At 44.0% G+C, this 24744-nt stretch overlaps 1 protein-coding gene and 1 long non-coding RNA gene across 7 annotated transcripts in view; one reads left to right on the forward strand and one right to left on the reverse strand.

Moving 5' to 3' along the window:
- SLC5A4-AS1 (SLC5A4 antisense RNA 1) overlaps window positions 1-24744 on the forward strand; it is a 68501-nt gene that overhangs the window by 39296 nt on the left and 4461 nt on the right. The window contains exon 3 of the long non-coding RNA NR_149072.1: window positions 23878-24169. This is a non-coding gene — a long non-coding RNA (SLC5A4 antisense RNA 1). The remainder of the gene's footprint in view (window positions 1-23877; window positions 24170-24744) is intronic.
- SLC5A4 (solute carrier family 5 member 4) overlaps window positions 1-24744 on the reverse strand; it is a 136600-nt gene that overhangs the window by 25947 nt on the left and 85909 nt on the right. For 2 of the 6 annotated variants that reach the window (XM_017028920.2, XM_011530342.3), the window contains exons 3-7: window positions 21825-21942; window positions 9732-9803; window positions 7360-7464; window positions 4333-4392; window positions 3001-3105 (exon numbers count right to left, since the gene is read on the reverse strand). In XM_017028920.2, the coding sequence (XP_016884409.1) occupies window positions 3001-3105; window positions 4333-4392; window positions 7360-7464; window positions 9732-9803; window positions 21825-21942 (460 nt within the window). Of the gene's footprint in view, window positions 1-3000; window positions 3106-4332; window positions 4393-7359; window positions 7485-9731; window positions 9804-10784; window positions 10938-21824; window positions 21943-24744 lie in introns of those variants that run through there. The other 4 variants (XM_006724308.4, XM_011530343.3, NM_014227.3 and 1 more) reach the window with 3 other exon arrangements.

Here is a 24744-nt window from a genome sequence, read left to right on the forward strand (position 1 = left end):
TTTTCATATTAAAACACACTATCTTATTATGGATTCTTTGACCTTTGTTTCTATTATATAGTACTATTAAGGAATTAAATCCATGGTTTTAAAATTGTATGTAAGTAGTTGACATATTATCAATGAATTTTTTCCTAAAGAAATAGGGACTACTCCAGGTCACTCACGCTGTGGTGCAATGGCATGATCTTAGCTCATTATAACTTAGCTCCTGGGTTCAAGTGATCCTTCTGCCTCAGCCAAAGTAGCTGGGACAATAAATGTGTGCCCCCATACCTGGCTAAATAATTTTTTTTTTGGTAGAGATAAGGGTCTCACTATTTAGCCCAGGCAGGTCTGGAACTCCTGGCCTCCAGTGATCCTCCTGCCTCAGCCTCCCAAAGTGCTGGGATTACAGGCAGAAGTCACTGGGCTCAGCCATCAATGACATTTTTCTTTTATTGTGATGAAACATATATGACATAAAATTTACCATTTTAACCATTTAAGTATATAATTCAGTGGCATTAATTACACTAACAATGACTGTAAAATATTTCTCATAATAAAGAGGAATTGCAAGGATCAGGATTTTCTTTTGCTATAAAGGACTGTATTAAAACAATAGTCAATATCTGAATAAAGACTGTAGATTAGATAATAGTTTATATCAAATCTCAATACATATGTTATTGCAGGTTGAGAACCAGTGAACAAGATGATCTTTTTCCAACCTGGGCAGAGGAGAGTTATGAAAACTGTCCTGTCCTAACGTCTCATAACGATCTGTTTAATAAGTAACTAGGAGACAATCCGTGTGTCAGAGTGTAAGAGTACACAAAAGGTCATGTCTAAGGTTAATCATTATTAATGTCACTTAAGACATAAACCTGCAGGCAAGAATGGACTCCTGCTAAGGTGTCTTTCCAGCCAGCCACAGACTCTGCACAGCCACAGACCTGCACATGGCTTCCCTGCACCCACACCTAGCTCACCAACATTCTGTCCCTCCCCATCCACCAGTGACCCTCCAGTCTGGGAGGTTGCATCCTTCGGGGGCCCCTTTTCACTGTGCATTGTCCTCTGTTCTATGCCTTCATGCCTTCTCATGCTCTTTTTTAAATAAAAATTTTATTTATCTACTTTTTTGAGACGGAGTCTCGCTCTTGTCACTAGGCCGGAGTGCAGTCGCGCGATCTCGGTTCACTGCAACCTCTGCCTCCCGGGTTCAAGCAATTCTCCTGCCTCAGCCTCCTGAGTAGCTGGGACTACAGGTGCATGCCACAATGCCCAGCTAATTTTTGTATGTTTAGTAGAGACGAGGTTTCACCATGTTGGTCAGGATGGTCTCCATCTCTTGACCTCATGATCTGCCTGCCTCGGCCTCCCAGAGTGTTGGGATTACAGGCGTGAGCCACTGCGCCCGGCCTGCTCATGCTCTTCAGAACTGTAAAGCTGTAGATGTCAGCACCAGAGGACAATTGGGAGACTAGCAAGTCCAACGATTTAAGAGACGTGTGAACTCTAAGCCCCTGACACCTGTGAGCTTCTCTGCTTCCCTCTGCCTCGCCTAACCTTCCCATCCTGGGGAATACTTAAGTGCCCTCTCCAAGAGTATGACCCCCAATGCCATCCATCAGGGAGCATACTCTTCTCCGGGTGTGCACGGCACATTTTCTGTACTTGTCCATGCACTCTAGTTCAGCATGTATTTTAGTACATTTACATGTATTGTCATATGGGACTAATTGTTTCATGTGCAGAATTCTTATTTCCTTAGCCAGATGGTGAACTCCCGTGGCTCAAGAATCTTTGCTACGCTCACACAAAGCTCAATAATATGCAGTCAGTGCTGGGCAATGCTCACGTTGCATTGGGAAGGCTCATGCCATCTAACCTAAGCAGCTAGTTCACTTCCAACAACAACTCGGTTCAACAGAGGAGCAATAGGAAAGGTCAGCCTTTTCTCTCATGAACTCTGAGACACCTGCCTAGACTGTAAACTTGAGATTATTTCATTAGTCACCGATACATGAGGAGCAAATAAGTTACTCTTTGTTTTTTACATGTGCTGCTGAATCTTCATATTCCTTCCTTCTTTCCTCACTGATTATCTCCCAAAAATGTAATGTTTGTTTGTTTATTTATTTATTTTTGAGATGGAGTCTCACTCTGTCTCCCAGACTGGAGTGCAGTGGTGTGATCTTGGCTCACTGCAACCTCTGCCTCCCGTGTTCAAGCTATTCTCCTGCCTCAGCCTCCTGAGTAGCTGGGATTACTGGTGTGCATCACCATGCCTGGCTAATTTTTGTATTTTTAATAGAGATGGGGTTTTACCATGTTGGCCAGGCTGGTCTCAAACTCCTGACCTCAAGTGATCCACCTGCCTCAGCCTCCCAAAGTGCTGGGATTACAAGTGTGCGCCACTGCACCAGGCCCAAAAAAATGTAACTTTATAAAAAAGTACTTAAAATGTACTTTAAAATTTTTTAACACTTATTTGTGACATATGTCTTACCATGGTGGTCTTAGATAGAGTGAACTTAAGAAAAATCAGTATAATAATACAAAGTACTTTCCTTGTGGTTCACGTGTCAGATAATAAAACTGAAAATGAAAATATAAATCTGGACATGGTCTGAGAAAGAATATAAAGGTTATCTTGCAATGGAAAAGGCAGGCGACCAAGTCCTTCTCTTTACTACTAAAGAGCTGTGTTACTTGAATGAGACGTTTTGTTCTTTCTTTACATCCATTTTTTCATATCCTTGATGAGAGGGGAGATTTATACCCAGAGCCTCTCATGACTTAAAAGTCTACCACTCTACGAACACAGGGTCTTTGAAGCTCCCTTTTTCCTCATGAAGACTTTGAAGAGACAGTCCTGAGAATTTAAGACATCCATATCCTTGACCCTTTAAAGGCTGTTGACAGTCTACACATCCAGCTCTCTGATATTAGCACTCTGGCCCCATCTGACCAACCTCTTGAAGCTAAAATGCCAGGAGGCTCTGAACTCACAGAAATTAACAAAACCACACAGATGAAGAGGGAGAGGATGGAGAGGTAGACCTGGAGTCGCTCCCCACCAAACCGCTTCTTGAGATATTCCGGCATGGTCATCACCTGCAGAGACAGACATTGACAGGGACTTAACTTACCCTTAGGGCCCTGTGCGTTCAGATTATTCAGCATTTCCTAAGCACCTGTGAGTGAAAGTCCTGTGTGTGGCCCCTTCCTGGTGATGGAACCATGGCTTCTTACTCATAGAGGCATCCCTGATGCCATGCACAGTGACTGGCAGAGGGTGGGTGCTTAAACCATGCTTCTGAAGAGAAGGACCCCCCCATGGATAACTCCAGCCAAGGTCTCTCTCCTGACCAATCTGCAGATCTCACTTTCCCACTGCCGGTTGGGTGTCTCCACCTTAGTGCCTTGAATGCACCAAACATAAGTGAAGTCATCATTCTCCTTGTCATCCATCATTTGCCTCTGATCTGGAATCCCTGGCTCCATTAATGGTGGCCTCGGGCACTCCGACCCTCGAGCTTCAAGTCTTAGAGCTGATCATAATGCTTCCCCCTCCATTGCCTTCACTTTTACTCTGCCATCAAACCTGTCATCTCTGCTCCAGGGTCATTATGCAGGGGCACCATTGATTTCCCCACTGGCTGCAGCCACATTCTATACTGGAAACCTCTCTAGGCAAGAAATTTGATTTTTTTGTCTTCTGTATATTTCTAGCAATAGGCCAGGTGAAGGGCAGGGACCCAGGTTTCATGATTGAAGAGAAAAAATAAGTGAATAAATGAATGCCTGACAGATTTACCCAAACACTGTGGATACGGAACTGGCCCAGTTGTCCCATAGAACTGATGTCTGTGGTTTATTTGAATAAGCATAGAAACTGATCCTCCCAGTGTTACAACTTGAGAAAGTTACCTTTGTCTTATCTGAGTTCCTCTCTCAGGAAATCAACCATCAGTTCTCCCAGATAGGGTCAAAGAGCTGAAACTCACTAGATCAACACACCTGGACAATGAGAAGCCAGACCCCTTGCCCATTATAATTGTCTAACCCACCACCAGCTTCCTGTTGACCGACTTCTCTTCCTTATCCCCACCCCTAATTCCTGTTTTCCCACACATGGTTACATATCTTCCCTGTTATATAAACCCCTAATTTTAGTCCATCAGGAAGATGGATTTGAGACTGAGCTCCCATCTCCTCTGCTGTGGCACCTAAATAAAGCCTTTTTTCCTGGCAATACTCATTGTCTCAGTGATTGATCTTCTGTGCAGTGAGCAGCAGTGCCTAGAACTGAACTCTGGCATTTTGGTAACAGATACTCACCCCCGACTTGATGTAGATAGGGACAAAGATCCACCCAAGAATCAGCAACATTACTGAGGACTACAAGGAACCAAAATAAGAGACAGTGAGACATTAAAGAGGCTTGGCTTGTGGACCTTCTCCTTCTATGACCTCTGAGTCTGGAAATTAAAAAAAAAAGTTGGCTCAATCCTGTCCCATTCAAACAACTATAATCCCAAGACAATTGTGAGTTCCTTTTTTTCTGTTTCTATGACTCAGGGGCCACCATTTTCTGAGGATTAAATTGTGGTGAAAAAGGGAAAGAAGATAAGGGATCTGATCCCAGTGGAACCCCTGGAAGGTCATACAATCTTTGCCAAAGGGAATTTTTCTTGAATTGCATAAATGATAAATGGAGTGACAAAGCAATGAGAAAGGAACCTGGAGATAGAAGAATATCACCAGTGCTCCCCAAGTCTTCCCACATACAGTGACGATAATAATATAATCTAGCATTAATGTGCAATTTTTACAGAGAGTCTTCACATAGATCACTTACGCTGCTCTCAGCCTAAGTGAGGCAGATATGAGAAGCACAGTTATTCTTATCTTAGAGAGGGGGAACTTGAGCCTTACAGAGATTAAGGGGGCCCAAGGTCACAGTGACAGGGGGAGCAGCTCAGTTCTCTGCAGCCTGCTCATCACACCCACTTGGTCCATAGGTCATTCTGGCCATGCCTCTGGAGACTGGCTTCATTCTGGTGTCCATGGCACTATTAAAACAAAGCTCCAGCCATAGGGCATATCTGGAGGCTGGGTCCATCCTGGACTCCTGGATACTACTGAAGTAAATGTAGGGGCAAAATCTTCAGCAGGGGAGGGGCACAGGTATGTGTGATCTCTCAAGGTCACTTTCTGAGTTCAACCAGGGAATGGTCTGTTTAAACTTTCACTATGATCCAACTTTCCTTTACACAGGCATCGTCTTCTGCCGAATATGCACATGCATGTACATGAAAACACCAGAAAGAGTAAGACAAAAGAACAGAAAAACTCAGGCAACTCAAAAGCTGTTGGTGGCACATCCATCACATGTCCAGCCTTGTGCTAGAGCAAACTTGTCCAACCTGTGGCCCAAGCTGGCTTTGAATGTGGCCCAACACAAATTTGTAAACTTTCTTAAAAAATAATAAGGTTTTTTGGTGATTTTTTTTTTAGGTCATCAGCTATTCTTAGTGTATTTTATGTGTGGTCCAAGATAATTCTTCTTCTTCTAGTGTGGTCCAGGGCAGTCAAAAGATTGGACACCCCTGTGCTAAAGGATGGGCTGGACACATAGTGGGGACTCAGGGAGGAGAGATGAAAGGGAGAGCTAAAATGCTCAAGTGAACATAGGGATTGAGGCATATAGAAATGACATTCCTGGTGGGAATAACTGCTTGAGAAAAATCTTAGAGGTGAGCAGTGATGTGCATGGAATGGGCCAGGCAGAATGGGACCACAGAAGTGCTGAAGGTCAAACAAGAGGTGGAGGCTGGGTGCAGTGACTCACACCTGTGATCCCAGCATTTTGGGAGGCTGAGGTGAGAGGCTTACAGACCTCAGGAGTTAAGAGACCAGCCTGGGCAACATAGGGAGAACCCCATATCTACAAAAAACCAAAAACCTAGCTGGGCATGGTGGTGCACACCTGTGGTCCCAGCTACATGGGAGGCTGTGGTGGGAGGATTGCTTGAGCCCAGGAGGTCAGTGAGCCATGATCCTGCTACTGCACTCCAGCCTGGGGAACAGAGCAAGGCTGTGGGAGTGCAAATTAGTTCAAACATTGTGGAAGGCAGTGTGGTGATTCCTCAAGGATCTAGAACCAGAAATACCATTTGACCCATCAATCCCATTACTGGGTATATACCCAAAGGATTATAAATCATTCTACTATAAACACACATGCACATGTATGTTTATTGCAGCACTATTTACAATAGCAAATACTTGGAATCAACCCAAATGCTCAACAATGATAGACTGGATAAAGAAAATGTGGCACATATATACCATAGAATACTACACAGCCATAAAAAAGGATGAGTTCATGTCCTTTGCAGGGACATGGATGAAGCTGGAAAGCCCTCATTCTCAGCAAACTAACCCAGGAACAGGAAATCAAACACCACATGTTCTCATTCATAAGTAGGAGTTGAACAATGAGAACACATGGACACAGGGAGGGGAACATCACACACTGGGGCCTGTCAGGGGGTGAGGGGCAAGGAGAGGGAGAGCATTAGAACAAATACCTGATGCATGCATGGCTTAAAACCTAGATGATGGGTTCACAGGTGCAGCAAACCACCATGACACATGTATACCTATGTAACAAACCTGCAGGTTCTGCACATGTATCCCAGAACTTAAAATTGACAAAGAAGACAACAACAAACAAATAAGCAAAAAAAAAAAAAAAAAAAAAAAAAAACCAAAGAGGAGAACATTCTATACAGACACCCAGAAAAACCTGGGATATGACTTCCATTAATATACCTGGATGCTATGGTTTCAACGTGTACCACCAAGTTCATGTGTTGGAAACTTAATCCCCAATGCAACAGTATTGAGAGGTTAGACCATTAAGGGGTGATTAGGTTATGAGGGCTCTTCCCTCATAAACAGATGGATCCCATTATTGAGATAATGGGTTAGTTATAGTAGGAGTGGGTTCCTGATTTTAAAAAATGAGTTTCACCCTCTCCTCCCCTTTTCTCTTCTGTCTCTGTCTCTGTCTCTTTCTCTCTCTCTCTCATCCTCCATCCCTCTCTCTCTCTCTCTCTCTCTCTCGTGCCCTATTGCCCTTCCACCTTCCACCTTCCACCATGGGACGATGAAGCAAGAAGCCCTTGCCAGATGTGGGTCCCTCAGCCCTTGCACTTCCCAGCCTTCAGAGCTGTCAGAGATACATTTCTGTTCTTTATAAATTATCCAGCCTGTGATATTCTGTCATAGCAGCATAAAACATACTAAGACACTGGATATGGTTTTGATTTGAAGGAAAAAGCCTATGATGTCACTTACAGTCCATTCAAATGTTACGGTGGCGACTCCTGAAGCTGCTCCTGTCCCAGCCAGCCCCACATAGTGGTTGCTGCCGATGTTACTGGCAAAGAGAGAGGCGCCCATCTGGAATGCAAGAGAACAGACTAGGGTTGGAGTTAAAAGATCCAAATCAGACTTCTTGAAAATAGACAGATGTAGCTGGGCGTGGTGGCTCACGCCTGTAATCCCAGCACTTTGGGAGGCTGAGGCGGGTGGATCACAAGGTCAGGAGATCAAGACCATCCTGGCTAACACGGTGAGACCCCATCTTTACTCAAAATACAAAAAAATCAGCCGGGCGTGGTGGTGGGCGCCTGTAGTCCCTGCTGCTCTGGAGGCTGAGGCAGGAGAATGGCATGAACCCAGGGGGTGGAGCCTGCAGTGAGCGGAGATCGCGCCACTGCACTCCAGCCTGGGTGACAGAGCAAGACTCTGTCTCAAAAAAAAAAAAAAAAAGAAAATAGACAGATGCTGAGATGTTTCAGTCACTACTCCTCAGAGCAGGAGTCAAGCAAACAATGGCCCCTGGGCTAATCCAGCCCACAGTCAGTTTCTGAATGGCCCACGAGCCAAGAATGTTTTTTTACATTTTTGCATTGTTAAATAATGGTAAACAATCTAAGTAAGCATAATATTTTGTGAAATGTGAAATTGTAAACTTGTGAAATTGTATGATTCAAATTTCATTGTCTGGAACACAGCCGTGCTCATTGGTTTTCCATATGGACTTGGGCTGCTTTTTGTCCTACAACAGCGGGGTTCTGTGGCTGCAATAGACTATATGTCTAGAAAACTCTAAAGTATTTACAATCTGGCCTTTTACAGAAAAGCTCGTTGGCCCCTGTCTTGGGGGAGCATTGGTCAATCTACTAAAATGCTCTGAGTTGAGCCTGTCCTTGGCCAAGCACTGCCAGATCTCCCATCAGCTCTTCTCCCTTTAATCATATGCAAAGACCCCAAGCTGGCTAGGAGGGAGTTTCTCTCCATCCTCCCAGCCACAGGACACTCTTTTCATTCATCCCCTCGCCATTACAGTGTCTGCTGTTCTAAAGACCCAGAGACCAAGAGAGGTCTCTTGAGTGGACGTAGATGAGCACCAGTCCTAGCAGAAGAGAATTGGGGTGTGGCTCTTCCCACTTTTTAAGGCCTCTGTAAAATCACTTTTTCTGCTCAGCTACATGGGGCCAGAGGATGGGATTGAGCTGGTTTTTGGCTTCAAGATCGCTTGAGCCTCCTTGCATGTTTCACTAAACAGTCCTAAAAATGCAATGTCTGATTGGATGTCCCAAATAAAATTCATTTCAAACTTCCAGTTGTTCTGCTTCAGTCACCCCAGCCAGGACAGTTGCCCATCTCCACTTCCCCTCATACCATTTAGAAAATGAGTCAGATCTGTGAAGGAAGCATTTGCTAAGCACCCACTGTATAATGTGATGCTGGGCTGACACTCTCCAGGTGCAGAGGGGAAGATACAGCCTCTGCTGCAGTGGGACCCTGGCTGAGGGGGTCACACATCAAAACCCCACAAGAACACCCACTGGGCAAGAATCAAGAGGCATCAGCATTAGCACCATCACAGGGAACACAACCAATAACTGCATGGGACATAGGGACCCATGGAGAGAGCCGGGAGGCTCCTCAGATGAGAAAGGGCTGAGGTGAGGCATTGAAAGAGGACAGCAGACAAGGGGAGGCCAATCCTAACAAGAGGGCCAGCATCAGCTCAGGACTGGCAACAAAGCAGGAATGCGCAGAGCTTGTAAGAAGCCAGGAGAAGACTCTTGATAAGGAGCAGAAGAAAAGAATATAAGGTGGGGCTGAGCTGGGGTCCTTCAGTGCCAGACTGAACCGGCTGTCATAATAGGTGACATATTGTAATGTCCTGGAATTACAGAGAGGAGCCATGAAGTCGGGGATTTAGGAAAGGAGCCCCAGCGAGTAGGCAACCAATGTACATCAGAAATGATCAACATTCCCAATGTTGTCTACATTCACTTTTTTTTTTTTGAGATGGAGTTTCATTCTTGTTGCCCAGGCTGGAGTGCAGTGGTGTGATCTAGGCTCACTGCAACCTCTGCCTCCCAGGTTCAAGTGATTATCCTGCCTCAGCCTCCTGAGTAGCTGGGATTACAGGCATACACACCACCACGTCCAGCTAATTTTTGTATTTTTAGTAGAGATGGTTTCACCATGTTAGTCAGGCTGGTCTCGAACTCCTGACCTCAGATGATCTGCCAGCCTTGGCCTCCCAAAGTGCTGGGATTACAGGCGTGAGACACCGCACCCAGCCTACATTCAGTTTTAAGCACACACACAGGAAATTTATCTCCAGAAAACTTCGATCCACTTACCGGCCACCAGGCCATATCACGACCAGCGAGGAAGAAGCCTCCTATAGTACCTCGGTTGGTCTTCAGCATCGCCTGAGCAGAAGGGAAGACAGGTGAGGGTCAAGCCCCAGCAAGTGCACCCAGACACCCCAGAGGCTCTGGCCAGGGTGCTGAGAGGGGTGACTTCAGCACTCCTACAGAGAGAAACATTTCGCTGGAAAGTGTTCTATAGCATCAAATTTTAAAGGACTTCAAAAACAGTCGCTTTGTAAAAACCCAGGGCTGGAAGAACTTAAAAAAATCATAATCCTTAACTTCTATCTTAACTGCTCTGATTATTCTCACTTATGAAAACCATGTGAGGTATCATTGAGCCATGCTTGCAATAAAATTTGCAGTCTCGGCCGGGCACGGTGGCTCACGCCTGTAATTCCAGCACTTTGGAGGGCCGAGGCGGGTGGATCACAAGGTCAAGAGATCGAGACCATCCTGGCCAACATGGTGAAACCCCGTCTCTACTAAAAATACAAAAAGTTAGCCGGGCGTGGTGGCGCATGCCTGTAGTCCCAGCTACTTGGGAGGCTGAGGCAGGAGAATGGCGTGAACCCAGGAGGCGGAGCTTGCAGTGAGCCAAGCAAGCGCCACTGCACTCCAGCCTGGACGACAGAGCAAGACTCCGTCTCAAAAAAAAAAAAAATTTGCAGTCTCAAATTTATTAAAATAAAAAAATTCAACATAAATGAAGAGTCCAACTCACTAAATCAGAAAGTGAGCAAACAACAAAAGAAAGCGAAAGAAATGCGATAATAAAAATACACTCTTTGTCCATTATGCCAGGTGTTGGGGATGCATAGTAAATCTGAAGGTCCCGGTGCTGGCTGTGTGCACACGATGGGGTTATTAGGAGAATACATTAGTTCATTGTAAGCGTTATTTATGCAACACACAAGAAAATGATTCTGATAACACAATGACATTTGTGAAAAGCTTTGTCACAACCACACCCCTTCCCCCCTTAAGATACCCCCTCCTAAACCTTGTGCCCACCCTAAAAGCCACTGGGATTCCACCTACCCACAGCCCAACAGCCATCACCACCAGAAAATAGATGACAATGACTGAGATGTCAGCAGCATTTCGGATGTGGTCAGACAATGGAGGTGGCTCTGGGGTCTCAGCTATGGTGCTGGGGCTAACCGTACTGGCCATGGCTGCAGGCAGTGCTATACCCATTCCACGCATGAGCCATCTTTATATAAGTTCTGGGTTAATGATCAGCCTCAGGCAGGTGGGGCGAGATATCAGAGCCAGCTCCTGGATATGGAGACCTTTAAACCTCTTCTCCAAAGCTGTGGCACCCCAGCCCTCCACCAGTGAGTGCTAGCCTAGGTAGAGTGTGAGAATGAGGGATGCAGGGCCAGAAATGAGGGGAGAATTTGAGGTGGAGCATGGGGCGTTCTCTGAGTGCAAAGACAGGGTCTTTAAAGAGATTTGCCCAGGTGGAGGGGGGATTTGAGAGAAATGAAGACAGACAAGGAGGGGAGAAGGACAGACTAGAAGGTACCAGAAACCAGCCAGGAGGGACCGAATGCAATGGTCCTTCAGAGAACAGATACAGTTTCTGACCAATGAGCTATATCCCTTGACAGTGAAGTGAATTATGCCTTTCGTGGATTCCAAAGTCCCACATTTCTCTGAAGTGGGTTTCATGTGCCACAAAAAGACATTGGTGGCCTGTATAGGAAAGGAAGTGGCTCTTCAAGCACCATATGTGGTGAGTTGAGGGCAGAGCTGTGGAGAGCGCTGGGTCAGAGGGTTGTACAAAGAGTGAATCAACCTGGAAGCATGTGATGGGGATCATGAGGACTCAGGAAACAAGACTCCTGGACTACAGCCAAGAAGAAGTTAGAAGTAAAGCCTATGCGGTGGCTGACACCTGTAATCCCAGCACTTTGGGAGGCCAAGGAGAGAGCATCACTTGAGGCCAGGAGTTCAAGACCAGCTTGGGCAACATAGGGAGTCTTTGTCTCTATAAAAATTAGCTGAGTGTGGTGATGCACACGTATGGTCCCAGCTACTTGGGAGGCTGAAGAGGGAGGATCACCTGTGACTGGGAGGTCAAAGCTATAGTGAGCCATGATCACGCCGCTGCACTCTAGCCTGGGCAACTGAGCAAGATCCTGTCTCAAAAACAAACAAAAAAAACAACAACAAAAAAACAAAACCAAAAACACACATGAAAAAACGGAAAGCCCAGAAATTCTTCTTTTATACTTCATTTTTTATTGTGGCAAAGCATACATAGCATAAAATTTACCATTTTAATCCCTTTTAAGTGTACAATTCATTGGCATTAAGTACATTTACAGTGTTATGCAGCCATTACCACTATCCATTTCCAGAACTTTTTCATCATCTCCAAACAGAAGTATGTACCCACTAAAAACTAACTCCCCATCCCTCCCTCTCTCCAGGCCCTGGTAACCTCTGTTATTCTTTCTTACTATATAAATTTGCCTATTCTAGGTACCTCATACAAATGAAATCATACAATATTTTCCTCTTTGGTTTATTTCACTTAGTATGACATTTTCAAGGTTCATCCATATTGTAGCATGTATCAGAATTTCCTTCCTTTTTAAGGCTGAATAATATTCCAATACTCATATATACCACATTTTGTTTATCCATTCAACTGTTGATGGGCATTCAGGTTCTTTCTATACTTGGCTATTATAAATAATGCTGCTGAGAACACTGGTGTGCAAGGATCTGTTTGAATCCCTACTTTCAATTCTTTTGAGTCTATATGTAGAAGTGGAATTGCATGTGATAATTCTGTGTTTAACTTTTTGTAGAACTGCCAAACTGTTGTTCACAGCAGCTGCACTATTTTACATTCTTTCCACAGTGCATAGGAGAGTTAATTTCTCCATATCCTCTTCAATACTTGTCATTTATGTTTTAATTATAGACAGGCTAGTAGGTATCAAGTGGGTATCACAATATAGTTTTGATTTACACTTCTAACACAATCACTAGTAGTGTTGATTTTTTCATGTGCTTATAGCCATTTGTGCATCTTCTTGGAGAGAGATATATTCAACTTCTTCATCCATTTAAAAATTATGTTGTATTCTTTTTTACACTGCTCCTTGTGGAGCAGGACTACCTCATTGGCAGTGTACCCAGAATAGCCTTATGTTGTATTTTTGTTGCTGTTGAATTGTAGAATTTCCTTTTTATTTCTCAGAGACAGGGTCTCATTCTGTCACCCAGGCTGGAGTGCAGTGAGGTAAGCATGGCTCAGTGCAGCCTCAACCTCCTGGGCTCAAGTGATCCTCCCATCTCAGCCTCCACCATAGCTGGGACCACAGGCACATGCCACCCATGCCTGGCTAACTTCATTTTTTTAGAGGTGGGGGTCTTACCATGTTGTCCAGGCTGGTCTTGAACACCTGGGCTCAAGTAATTCCTTGTCTCAGCCTCTCAAAGTGCTGGGATTACAGGCATGAGCCACTGAACCCAGCAAGGTTTTCTTTTTTTTTTAATTTTTTTTTTTGAGACAGAGTTTCACTCTTGTTGCCCAGGCTGGAGTGCAATGGCACAATCTTGGCTCACTGCAACCTCCATTTCCTGGGTTCAAGCGATTCTCCTGCCTCAGCCTCCCGAGTAGCTGGGATTACAGAAACACACCACCATGCCCGGCTATTTTTTGTATTTTTAGCAGAGATGGATGGGGTTTCACCATATTGACCAGGCTGGTCTTGAACTCCTGACCGCAGGTAATTCTCCCGCCTTGGCCTCCCAAAGTGCTGGGATTACAGGTGTGAGCCACCTCGCCCAGCTAAGGTTTTCTTTATGTATTCTTTATTTTATTTGTGAGACAGAGTCTTGCTCTGTTGCCCAGGCTGGAGGGTGGTGGTACAATCTCCACTCACTGCAGCCCCCACCTCGCAGGTTCAAGTGATTCTTCTCCTGCCTCAGCCTCCCGAGTTGCTGGGATTACAGGCATGCACCACCATTTCCAGCTAATTTTTGTATTTTTAGTGGAGATGGGGTTGTGTCATGTTGGCCAGGCTGGTCCTGAACTCCTGATCTCATGTCATCTGTGAATAGAGATGATCTTACTTCTTTTCCAATTAGAATGCCTTTTAATTATTTCTATTTCTTACCCACTTATTCTGGCTGGGACTTCCAATGCTATGTTGAATAGAGGAAGTATGGTTGATTCCAAAATATAAAATAACCCCCCACAACTCAATGGCAAAAACAAAAAAACTAATAAGCCAATTAAAATGGGCTAAAGACTTAGACATTTCTCAAAAAAACACAAACCAATAGCCAAGAGGTATATGAAAAATTGTTCAACGTCACTAATCGTCGGGAAAATGCAGATCAAAACCAGTATGAAATATCCCCTCACACCTGTCAGGATAGCTATTATAAAAAAAAGAAAAAAAAGACAAGTATCAAGGATGTGGAGAAATTGGAACCCTTGTACACTGTTGTTGAGGGTGCAAAATGGTGCAGCTCCTATGGAAAACGGTATGAAGCTTCTTCAAAAAGTTAAAAATTGCAAGTGATCTAGCAATTCCATTTCTGGGCATGTATCCAAAAAAATTGAAATTGGCATCGCAAAAAGATATATCTGCACACCCATGTTCATAAGTACTATTCACAAAAGATACAGAAACAACCTAATGTCCATCAGTGGATGCATGGATAAAGACTATGTGGTATATGCATCCATGGAATATTATTCAGCCTTTGAAAGGCAGAATATTCTACAATATGCAACAATGTGCATGAACCTTGAGGACATTATGCTCAGTGAAATAACCTGTCACAGGAGGTCAAATATTGCGTAATTCCACTTATATGAGGTACCCCAAATGGTCAAATACATAGAATTCGTGAGTGGAATGGTAGTTGCCAGTGAGCATGTGGGGAGGTAAATGGAGAGTTGCTAATTAACAGGCAGAAAGTTCCAGTTAAACAAGATGAATCAGTGGCAGAGATCTGCTGTACACCATTGTACCTACAATTAAGTACTGTTTTGTACACTGAAAAATTTGTTAAGGGGTAAAGTTCATGTTAAGTGTTCTAATCACATAATTTTTTATTAAAGTCATGAAAGTAGACCACATGGTCTAGATCATAATCTCAGGGGAAAAGCTTTTAGTCTTTCAGCATTATTAGCTATTAATGACAAAATTAACCTATTAGCTATAGGGTTTTCATATGTGGCTTTATTATATTGAAGGATTTTTCTTATATTCCATGTTGATTGTTTTTTATCCAAAAAGGGCTGAATTTTGTCAATGCTTTTTCTGCACCAGGTGTTTTTTTCCTTTGTTCTATTAACGTGGCATGCTACATTGACTGATTTTCATATGTTGAACTATCCCTGCATTCTGAGAAAAAATTCCCCATGTTCTTGGTGTATAATTTAATATGCTGCTATATTAGGTTACCTATTTTGTAGATTATTTTTGCATTAGTATTGATAAAGGACACTGCTGTGTATTTTTTGTTCTTGCAGTGTCTTTGTCTCTTTTTGGTATCAGGGTCATGCAAGCCTCATGTAATGAGTTAAGAAGTGTTCCCTCCTCTTCAGTTTTTTTGGAAGAGATTAAGGTGGATTGGTGTTAATTCTTCCTTAATTGTTGGGTACCATTCACCAGTGAGTCATTTGGTGAAGGGCTTTTCAATTTTTTTGAGAATACACACCAAGTTTTATTGGGAGAAGGGAGTATTCACAGGAGTAGGTAAAAGAAAGGGAAGTCACACAGGGTGGAGCGGTGGGATGATTGTGGGTACAAGGCAGACAGGGGAACACAGGGCGATGCCTGCCCCGACCCCAACCCCAGGAAGGGCAGGGGAGCAGCGAAGGCCCAGGAAGATTGAGGCTAGTGAAAGAAAGCAACAGGGTCCCTGGGCTGGGGGACTCAGGGGCTTGTAAACATTGACCACTCTCAGAAGGGGATGAGGGTGGGAGAGGGGTCCCCCTATACTTCCTCACAGGGTTAAGGCCTCTCCAGGTCCCTGGGCCCCCTAATTCCAAAGCTTCTTAGCTGGAGGTAAAGAGCAGAAAGAGACAGGAAGGGTGCCCCACTTCCTCTACATTGGCTGCAGCAGAGGTGGGGGTGCTTACATTCAGTCACAACAGGAATCTCCCCCACACCTGCCTAGGGGAAAGGAGGAGCTGGGGGCAGCAGCAGCAGTCACTCCCCCCAGCCGTCACCTCTTATCACTTTAGAGAAAAGATTGTATTTTCATGGACAAATGCTAACACTGTTGAAACCAGGGAGAAACGGTGGAGGAGTGCTTCCACCCAAGGCCAGCTGTATTCCCCCAACACCAACCCAGCTGCCATTTTGGTGACAAAAAAAAAAAACAAAACCAAAAACAAAAACAAAAACCCACAAATCATCTTTCTAGGATAGACAGGGAAAGAAACAAGCCACTCTCCATATCCCCAGGGCAGGAGGGAGAAATCTACTCATGGAGGGTGGCAGTGGCAGAACCTTGCCCTAACAGTGCACTCTGAGCAATGAGGTCTACGAGAGGAGTTAGATGAAAAACCCAAAAGATAAAACAAACTATTAAAAATCGGAAAACGGATGGAGACAAATCCAGGTATGGGACCAGGAATAAGAAGTCATGAGGCTGGGCACAGTGGCTCATGCCTGTAATCCCAACACTTTGGGAGGCCAAGGTGGGTGGATAATCTGAAGTCAGGAGTTTGACACCAGCCTGGCCAACATGGTGAAACCCCGTCTCTGCTAAAAATACAAAAATTAGCTGGGTGTGATGGCGGGCTCCTGTAATCCCAGCTAGTCAGGAGGCTTAGGCAGGAGAATCGTTTGAACCCAGGAGGCGAAGTTTGCAGTGAGCTGAGATCGTGCCATTGCACTCCAGCCTGGGTGACAGGGCAAAAAAAAAAAAAAGTCACGAGCACTAGAAAAGGCAGCCTCCCCTGACCCAGGAGACTCACACTTCTCTTCACCCCTTTAGCGAAGGCTAAACAATATGCACAGGGGAGAACGCTCACTCCTCTCCCGTTTGGTCAGTGGAGGGGTCAGCTGCAGAGCTGGGTGGTCCACACCCCAAGAGCTGGCTGCAGTTCAGGTCCTGGGTCAGAGCTCCCTCTGCCATTGCAACCTTAAGCTGCCCACTCCTTACCCTTTGAAAGTCTATCCTCCTGCCCCCTTCACAGGCCCCTACTCAGTCCACTTAGCTTTCTCTCTGCAGCCCCTAGAGCAATTGTCCACCTTCGTTGTTCCCAGGAGTGAGGCAGGAGCGAGGTGGGGGCTTGTGGCCCAAAGAACACATTCACATGGCAAGACAGAGAGCTGGAGCTTTCAGGCTCACACCCAGGGTGCCCCCTTCAATGGCACTGGTTGGGGAAGCCCCTTACCAGGGGCAGGGTCAGAGTCCTGCCACCCCGAACTTCCAGACAGATAAGGTTGGCATACCCTGGCCAGCACAGGATGATCGCCCAGGGAGCTGGGCCACTAGTCCAATTTGTGCAACTCTCCCCCAAAGCAGCAAAGCCAAGGGGCAACTTTGTGTTTGTTTGTTTTTTAATGTACAATTAATATTGACTGTAGTCACCCTGTTGTGCTATCAAATAGTATGTTTTATTCATTCTGTTTTTTTGTACCCATTAACCATCCTCACCTCCCTCCCAGCTCCACAATACCCTCCCCAGCCTCTCATAACCATCCTTCTGTTTCCTATGTCCATGAGTTCAACTGTTTTGATTTTTAGATCCCACAAATAAGTGAGAACATGTGATGTTTGTCTTTCTGTGACTAGCTTATTTCACTTGACATAATAATCTTCATTTCCATCCATGTTGTTGCAAATGACATGATCTCCTTTTTTATGCCTGAATAGTATTCCATTGTGCATATACATCACATTTGCTTTATCCATTCATTCGTTGATGGACACTTAGGTTGCTTCCACATCTTGGCTATTGTGACTAGTGCTGCAATAAATACGAGAGTGCAAATATCTCTTCAATATAGTGATTTTCTTTCTTTTGGATATATGCCCAACAGTGGGATTGCTGGATCACATGGTGGCCCCAATTGTAGTTTTTTGAGGAGTCTTCACACTGTTCTCCATAGTGGTTGTACTAATTTACATTCCCATCAATAGTGTGTGAGGGCTCCAAGGGACTACTTTGGCCCCACCCCAGACACCTCTGCCAGTCACAGCCACAGCCACAGCCACAGGTTGTTGCTCACAGCAGGTCTGATGGAAGGGGCTCGGAGGGGCCTCACTGTGCAAACTGATGGCTAGCAGCTTCTAGTTACCCTGATGGCCCACCTTCTAGGGGCAGGTGGGTAAATGCAGCCTCAGGGGCCAGGCAGGACAGGTCCATGTGGCCTGTGTCCCTGCTGAAGGGCTCTTCTTTATCGACAAGTTTTTGATTATTGATTCAGTCTTCTTACCAGTTCCAGGTCTGTTGTTTCCTTCCTCTTGACTCACAGTTGGTAGACTGCATGTTTCTTTTTTTTGTTTAGACTCTAAGTTCTGGGATACATGTACAGAACATCCAAGTGCAAAAAAGAAAAGAAAGTTCAAATTCCTACAGTCAGAAATAAAAGTGCGTACATCACTACATTTTTATTTTTATTTTTATTTTTTTTTGAGACAGAGTCTCACTCTGTTGCCCAGGCTGGAGTGCAGTGGCGTGATCTCGGCTCACTGCAAGCTCTGACTCCCAGGTTCATGCCATTCTCCTGCCTCAGCCTCGCGAGTAGCTGGGACTACAGGTGGCCACCACCTCTCCCAGCTAATTTTTGTATTTTTAGTAGAGATGGGGTTTCACTGTGTTAGCCAGGATGGTCTCGATCTCCTGACTTTGTGATCCACCCGCCTCGACCTCCCAAAGTGCTGGGATTACAGGCATGAGCCACCGTGCCCGGCCCTACATTTTTTTTTTTGACAAGATACCACTGTCAACCAGGCTGGAGTGCATTCACTGCCTGCTGAGTAGCTACAAGCATACACCACCATGCCTGGCTAGTTTTTGTCTGTTTGTTGTTTTTGTTAGAGACAGGGTTTCACCATGTTGCGCAGGCTGGTCTCAAACACTGGGTTCAAGTGATTCAGCCTCCCAAAGTGCTGCGATTACAGGCATGAGCCACTGAGCCTTGCCTCAATACTGGTTTTATAAAAATTAAAAAGATTTTAAGAGAATACTATAAACATTTGTATGCCAACAAGTTGGTTAGCCCAGATAAAATGAAACAATTCCTTAGAAACATGCAGTCTACCCATTTATGCGGCCAAGAAACATATGAAAAAAAGCTCATCATCACTGGTCATTAGAGAAATGCAAACCAAAACCACAATGAGATACCATTTCACGCCAGTTAGAATGGCGATCATTAAAAAGTCAGGAAACAACAGATGCTGGGGAGGATGTGGAGAAATAGGAACACTTTTATACTGTTGGTGGGAGTGTAAATAAGTTCAGTCATTGTGGAAGACAGTGTGGCGAATCCTCAAGGATCTAGAACCAGAAATACTATTTGACCCAGCAATCCCATTACTGGGTATATACCTAAAGGATTATAAATCATTCTACTATAAAGACACATGCACACGTATTTTTATTGCGGTACTATTCACAATAGCAAAGACTTGGAACCAACCCAAATGCCCATCAATGGTAGACTGGATAAAGAAAATGTGGCACATACACACCATGGAATACTATGCAGTCATAAAAAAGGATGAGTTCATGTCCTTTGCAGGGACATGGATTAAGCTGGGAACCATCATTCTCAGTAAACTAACACAAGAACAGAAAACCAAACACTGCATGTTCTCGCTCATAAGGGGAGTTGAACAATAACACATGAACATAGAACATCATACACCGGGGCCTGTCATGGGGTTGGGGGCTGGGAGAGGGAGAGCATTAGGAGAAATACCCAATGTAGATGATGGATTGATGGGTGCAGCAAACCACCATGGCACGCGTATACGTATGTAACAAACCTGCATGTTCTGCATATGTACCCCAGAACTTAAAGTATAATAAAAAAAAAATTAAAAAAAAAAGAAATTGTCGTGAGACCACTTAAAACTGGACGATGACCTTTCTTTTTTTATATTAGAGAATATAATAGAACTAAGAAATCTCAATCAGGTGTGGCAGCTCACACCTGTAATCTCAGCACTTTGGGAGGCCAAGGCAGGAGGATCACTTGAGCCAGGGGTTCTAGACCAGCCAGGGCAACATGGTGAGACCCCCATCTCTACAAAAAATAGAAAAAGTTCGTTGGGCATGGTGGCATGTGCCTGTGGTCCCAGCTTCTTGGGAGGCTCAGGTGGATCACCTGAGCCCATGTAGTTAACGTTACAGTAAGCCATGATTATGCCACTGCATTCTAGCAGCAGTGGGCGACAGAGACCCAGTCTCAAAACAAAACAAAACGAAACAAGAAACCAGAAAAAAGAAGACATCTATTAATCAGACCAAAGTCCTAAAAAAGAAATAACATTTAATCAGACCGAAGTCCTAAAAGAGAAATAACATTTAAAAAGAAGACATCTAAAGTTGTAATCATACCCTGCATGTTTTATCCAAGCCTAGAATTCATATTAACACAAAATATATTACTGATAGCTGTTCCACACTTTTTTTGTAGCCCTTGTTAAGACTAAGAATGTATGTATTTTGAATCTGTTTTTGGCTGATAAATGTGTGAACCCCGCACGTTTATAGTCTGTTGAAAGAATATACCTCAAATATAGTCACTGTCTCATATTTTCTTTCTTTTTTTCATCTCAAGTTTGGAAATGTTTGAAAATGCCCATGTATAATGATAATTGTAGTCTCTTTCTTAGAAAGGAAATCACAAATAATTTATATAGAATCTTAATATTTCCACTTATTGATGTACTACAACTCAGATATACTTCCTTTGTGTTACTCTTTGGATGATGTAAAATCAAATTTGCTTCCTTGCCAGGCATGGTGGCTCACACCTGTTATCCCAGCACTTTGGAAGGCCAAGGTGGGAAGATTGCTTAAGACCAGTTCTGGCAATATAGTGAGATCCTCATCTCTACAAAATAGTTAAAAAATTAGCCAGTCTTGGTAGCACACACTGGTAGTCCCAGCTACTGGGGAGGCTGAGGCAGGAGGATGGCTTCAGCCCAGGAGTTCGAGGCTACAGTGAGCCATAATTGTACCATTGCACTCCAGCCTGGGCAACAGAGCAAGACCCTGTCTCAAGAAAAAAAAATTTGCTTCCTTAAATTATATTATTGTTTTAGATGACCTCCAGAGAATCATGAAACTGCAAGGAGGATGAAAAGCAAGAGGAAATATGAAGGAAACCAGATTGATTAAATTATATGTGGATCCAATAGTAATTATTTGTTGTCTACTTTTTGGTAAATATTTTTCATATTTCATATCCAAAATGTAGGCCACACACTTTCGGAGGCTGAGGTGGGTGGATCACTTGAGGCCAGGTGTTTGAGACCAGCCCAGTCAACATGGTGAAACCCCCTCTCTACTAAAAATACAAAAATTAGCTGGGTGTGGTGGCTCATGCCTGTAATTCCAGCTTTGCGGGAGGGAGAGGAACGAGAAACGCTTGAACCGGGGAGGTGGAGGTTGCAGTGAGCCGAGATCATGCCACTGCACTCCAGCCTGGGTGATGGAGTGGGACTCTGTCTCAAAAAAAGGAAAAACAAAACAAAACAAACAGAACAAAATGTAGGCCACAGATACAGCTCTCAACTAAGTTTGACTCTTTTAAGACCACATCAATACAAATAAGAATAGTAACAGATTCTGTTACAAGTGTTTATAAATTGCCAGGGGAGGACAACAGAGAAAGGATTTGCCTTGGGGCAAAAGGAAAGGCCCCTACAGGAAGAAACACTTGATCAGGGCATTGGGTGCAGGAGAGCTTAGCCATTTAGCCATGTCATTCAGGGATAAAGGTTTCCAGGGAGCAGGAAGGGGGAAACTTTGCCTTTGAATTTAAACTAGTATAATTTATAATAATCTTGTGAAGAGCAAGTAGTCAGGATATCCTCAGCTATTAAAAAACAGAAATGATGACTAACTGAGTGGTTATGAGATGCCAGGGGCCCGTGTCTTTTGGTGGGCGTTTCAGAAAGTAGAACGGGGACAGAAAGCTTGGATCCGGACCAGGTCTCTTCATAAACTTCCACACAGCGCCACCTGGAGACAGGGAAGAGGGAGGCAGCTGAGAGAAAACCCTAGGTAGTTTCACTATTACTTCATTTATCAAACGTGGTTCAATATGTCTGCAATAGTCATGCAAAAACTAAAACCTGTTCACACTTTACAGATTAAGCACAAACTATTTACAAATACAGAGAGTAATATTAATGAAATTAAATGTACAGGAATGATTTTGTCTAAAAGCAAAGAAAAAATTATAAATACTGGCCACGGGCAATGTTCTTGAGATTTTTAGATACAGCTGACCCTTAAAAAATGTGGGGTTTAGGGGCACTGAGCCCCCGGCAGTCCAATACCTGTGCATAACTTTTGACTTCCCAATAACTTAAGGATGAATGGCCCATTGTTGACTGGAAGCCTTACCCATAATATCAAGTCCGTTAACGCATATTTTGCATATGTGTTATGTACTGTGTTCTTACAGTAAAGTAAGCTAGACCAAAGAAAATGTTCTTAAGAAAATCATAATGCAGAAAAAATATTTTTATGTGGAAGTGAATTCAACCTCTTCTAAATGTGGATCTTCACAAGAGTAAGTCCTTTTTAATAAATGACTGGTCTAATGAGTGTGGTTTTAGGAAAGACCTGTGAGTAAGTTTGACTAATTTTCTTCATCAAACTGTGAGTTTTTATTTTCATGATCAAAAACAATTTGAAATTAGCTCCATTCATAACAATTAATTTTGATGCCAAATGTTTTGTTTGAACAGTTTCAATCCTGATCCCAAATCTTACCAACGCCCACAATATACAAGACCTAATTTAGAATGATGTGGCAATATTTGTCCATATTAACTGTGAAAACCCTTTAGTGAGGACGATCTCCTTTGTGGCAATCTGCTTATGACGTCAGTAAAAATCTAATATATAGCATAATTAAATCAAAATCTGATTGGATTAAGAATGATAAGCAGGATGTGAATAAGGTGGGAGGAGGGACACTCTACACAAAAACCCTTGTAAGTGGAGCTCACTCCAACTGAGTTGTCAGTGGAAGCAATTGGAGGCCAGGGGAGAACCTAGTGGAGCAGAGGTGAGAATAAATTAAGAAAAAAATTAAAATTTTAATACAGAAAATGTTATCATTTCAGCATGAAATTAACTTTAAGATTGTTTTTAAGAAACAGGGTCTCCCTCCATCACCCAGGCTGGAGTGCAGTGGCACGATCATAGCTCACTGTAGCTTCAACTTCTTGGGCTCAGGCGATCCTCCCGACTCAGCCTCCCAGGGTGCTAGGACTACAGGCACATGCCACTGCACCCAGCCAACCTTTAAAAGTTCTTAACAACATCATTTACATTCTCTATTTCTCATTACATTTTCCAAATCCATTATGCATTTTACACTGAAAGCACATCTCAATTCTGATATGCCCCATTTCAGGTGCTCAAGAGCCACATGTGGCAGGACAGCCCAGTATAGACACTTTTATGACATCAACTTCCCAAAGAAACAATCAAGTCCTGGCTGGACGTGGTGGCTCACGCCTGTAATCCCAGCACTTTGGGAGGCTGAGGCAGGAGGATCACGAGGTCAGGAGATTGAGACCATCCTGGCTAACACAGTGAAACTCCATCTCTACTAAAAATACAAAAAATTAGCCAGGCGTGGTGGTGGGCGCCTGTAGTCCCAGGTACTTGGGAAGCTGAGGCAGGAGAATGGCGTAAACCCAGGAGGTGGAGCTTGCAGTGAGCCGAGATGGCGCCACTGCACTCCAGCTAGCATTTAAAATATCAGAAGCTCAAGGCCCTGAGTCTTTTATATATGTATTTATATTGTGTTTCATTATGTTTCACTAGTAATTGTGCATAGTAGGCCCTGATATCTCTATGTATATAAGGAGGAAAGATTTCCAAGGAGTGTTGTCCTTCAACTCATGACACTCTAATAGCATGTACATTTTTCCATAGAGAGTGGTCACGGCTGAACAATTTCAAGAAGCGAGTCGATGTCTCATCTCCCTATCTTATCTTGAAAAACCCGTGTACCTAAGTCGTGGATGTGTCTGCTGCATCCGCTGCATCAGTTCACTTCTGAAGGAACCCCATGAGGAAGGTGTAATGTGCTCCTTTCGCTCTGTGGCTACTCAGAAGAATGACATCAGGCCCGATTTCCAGCTGGGAAAGATGGATTCTAAAATCAAGGAACTGGAGCCCCAGCTGACAATTCTATATCAGAACCCAAAGACGCTGAAGTTCCAAGGTAAGAAATCTGTAAAATTTGCTCTCAGCCCATCAATGGCCCTGAGAAAGTAGCCATTCAAAATGTTCTCCATTAAATATGGGCATAGGCTGAATTCTGGCACCTGAAATATTTATGCCCCCAAACCATAGTTGAATATAGACTAGAGATGACTAGAGATTTTGAAGGTAATGTAATAGTTAGGTCGTGCTCTAGGCCTGTGCTGTCTAATGTGGTAGTCGCCATTGGCTGCAGAGCCCTTAAATGTGGTTAGTGTCCTCTGTGAAAATGATAATAATTTGGGATATACAGGCTTATAATATACTATTTAAAGTATTTTTTGCATTTTTTCTCTTGAGACAGAGTTTCGCTCTTTCGCCCAGGCTGAGTGCAGTGGTGTGATCTCGGCTTACTGCACGCTCTGCCTTCTGGGTTCAAGCGATTCTGCCTCAGCCTCCTGAGTAGCTGGGACTGCAGGAGCATGCCACCACACCGGGCTAATTTTTATATTTTTAGTAAACACAGGGTTTTGCCATGTTGGCCATGGCGGTCTCGAACTCCTCACCTTGTGATCTGCCCACCCTGGCCTCCCAAAG

This window comes from Homo sapiens, chromosome 22, assembly GCF_000001405.40.
Source record: "Homo sapiens chromosome 22, GRCh38.p14 Primary Assembly".
NCBI classification, from domain to species: Eukaryota; Metazoa; Chordata; class Mammalia; order Primates; family Hominidae; genus Homo; species Homo sapiens.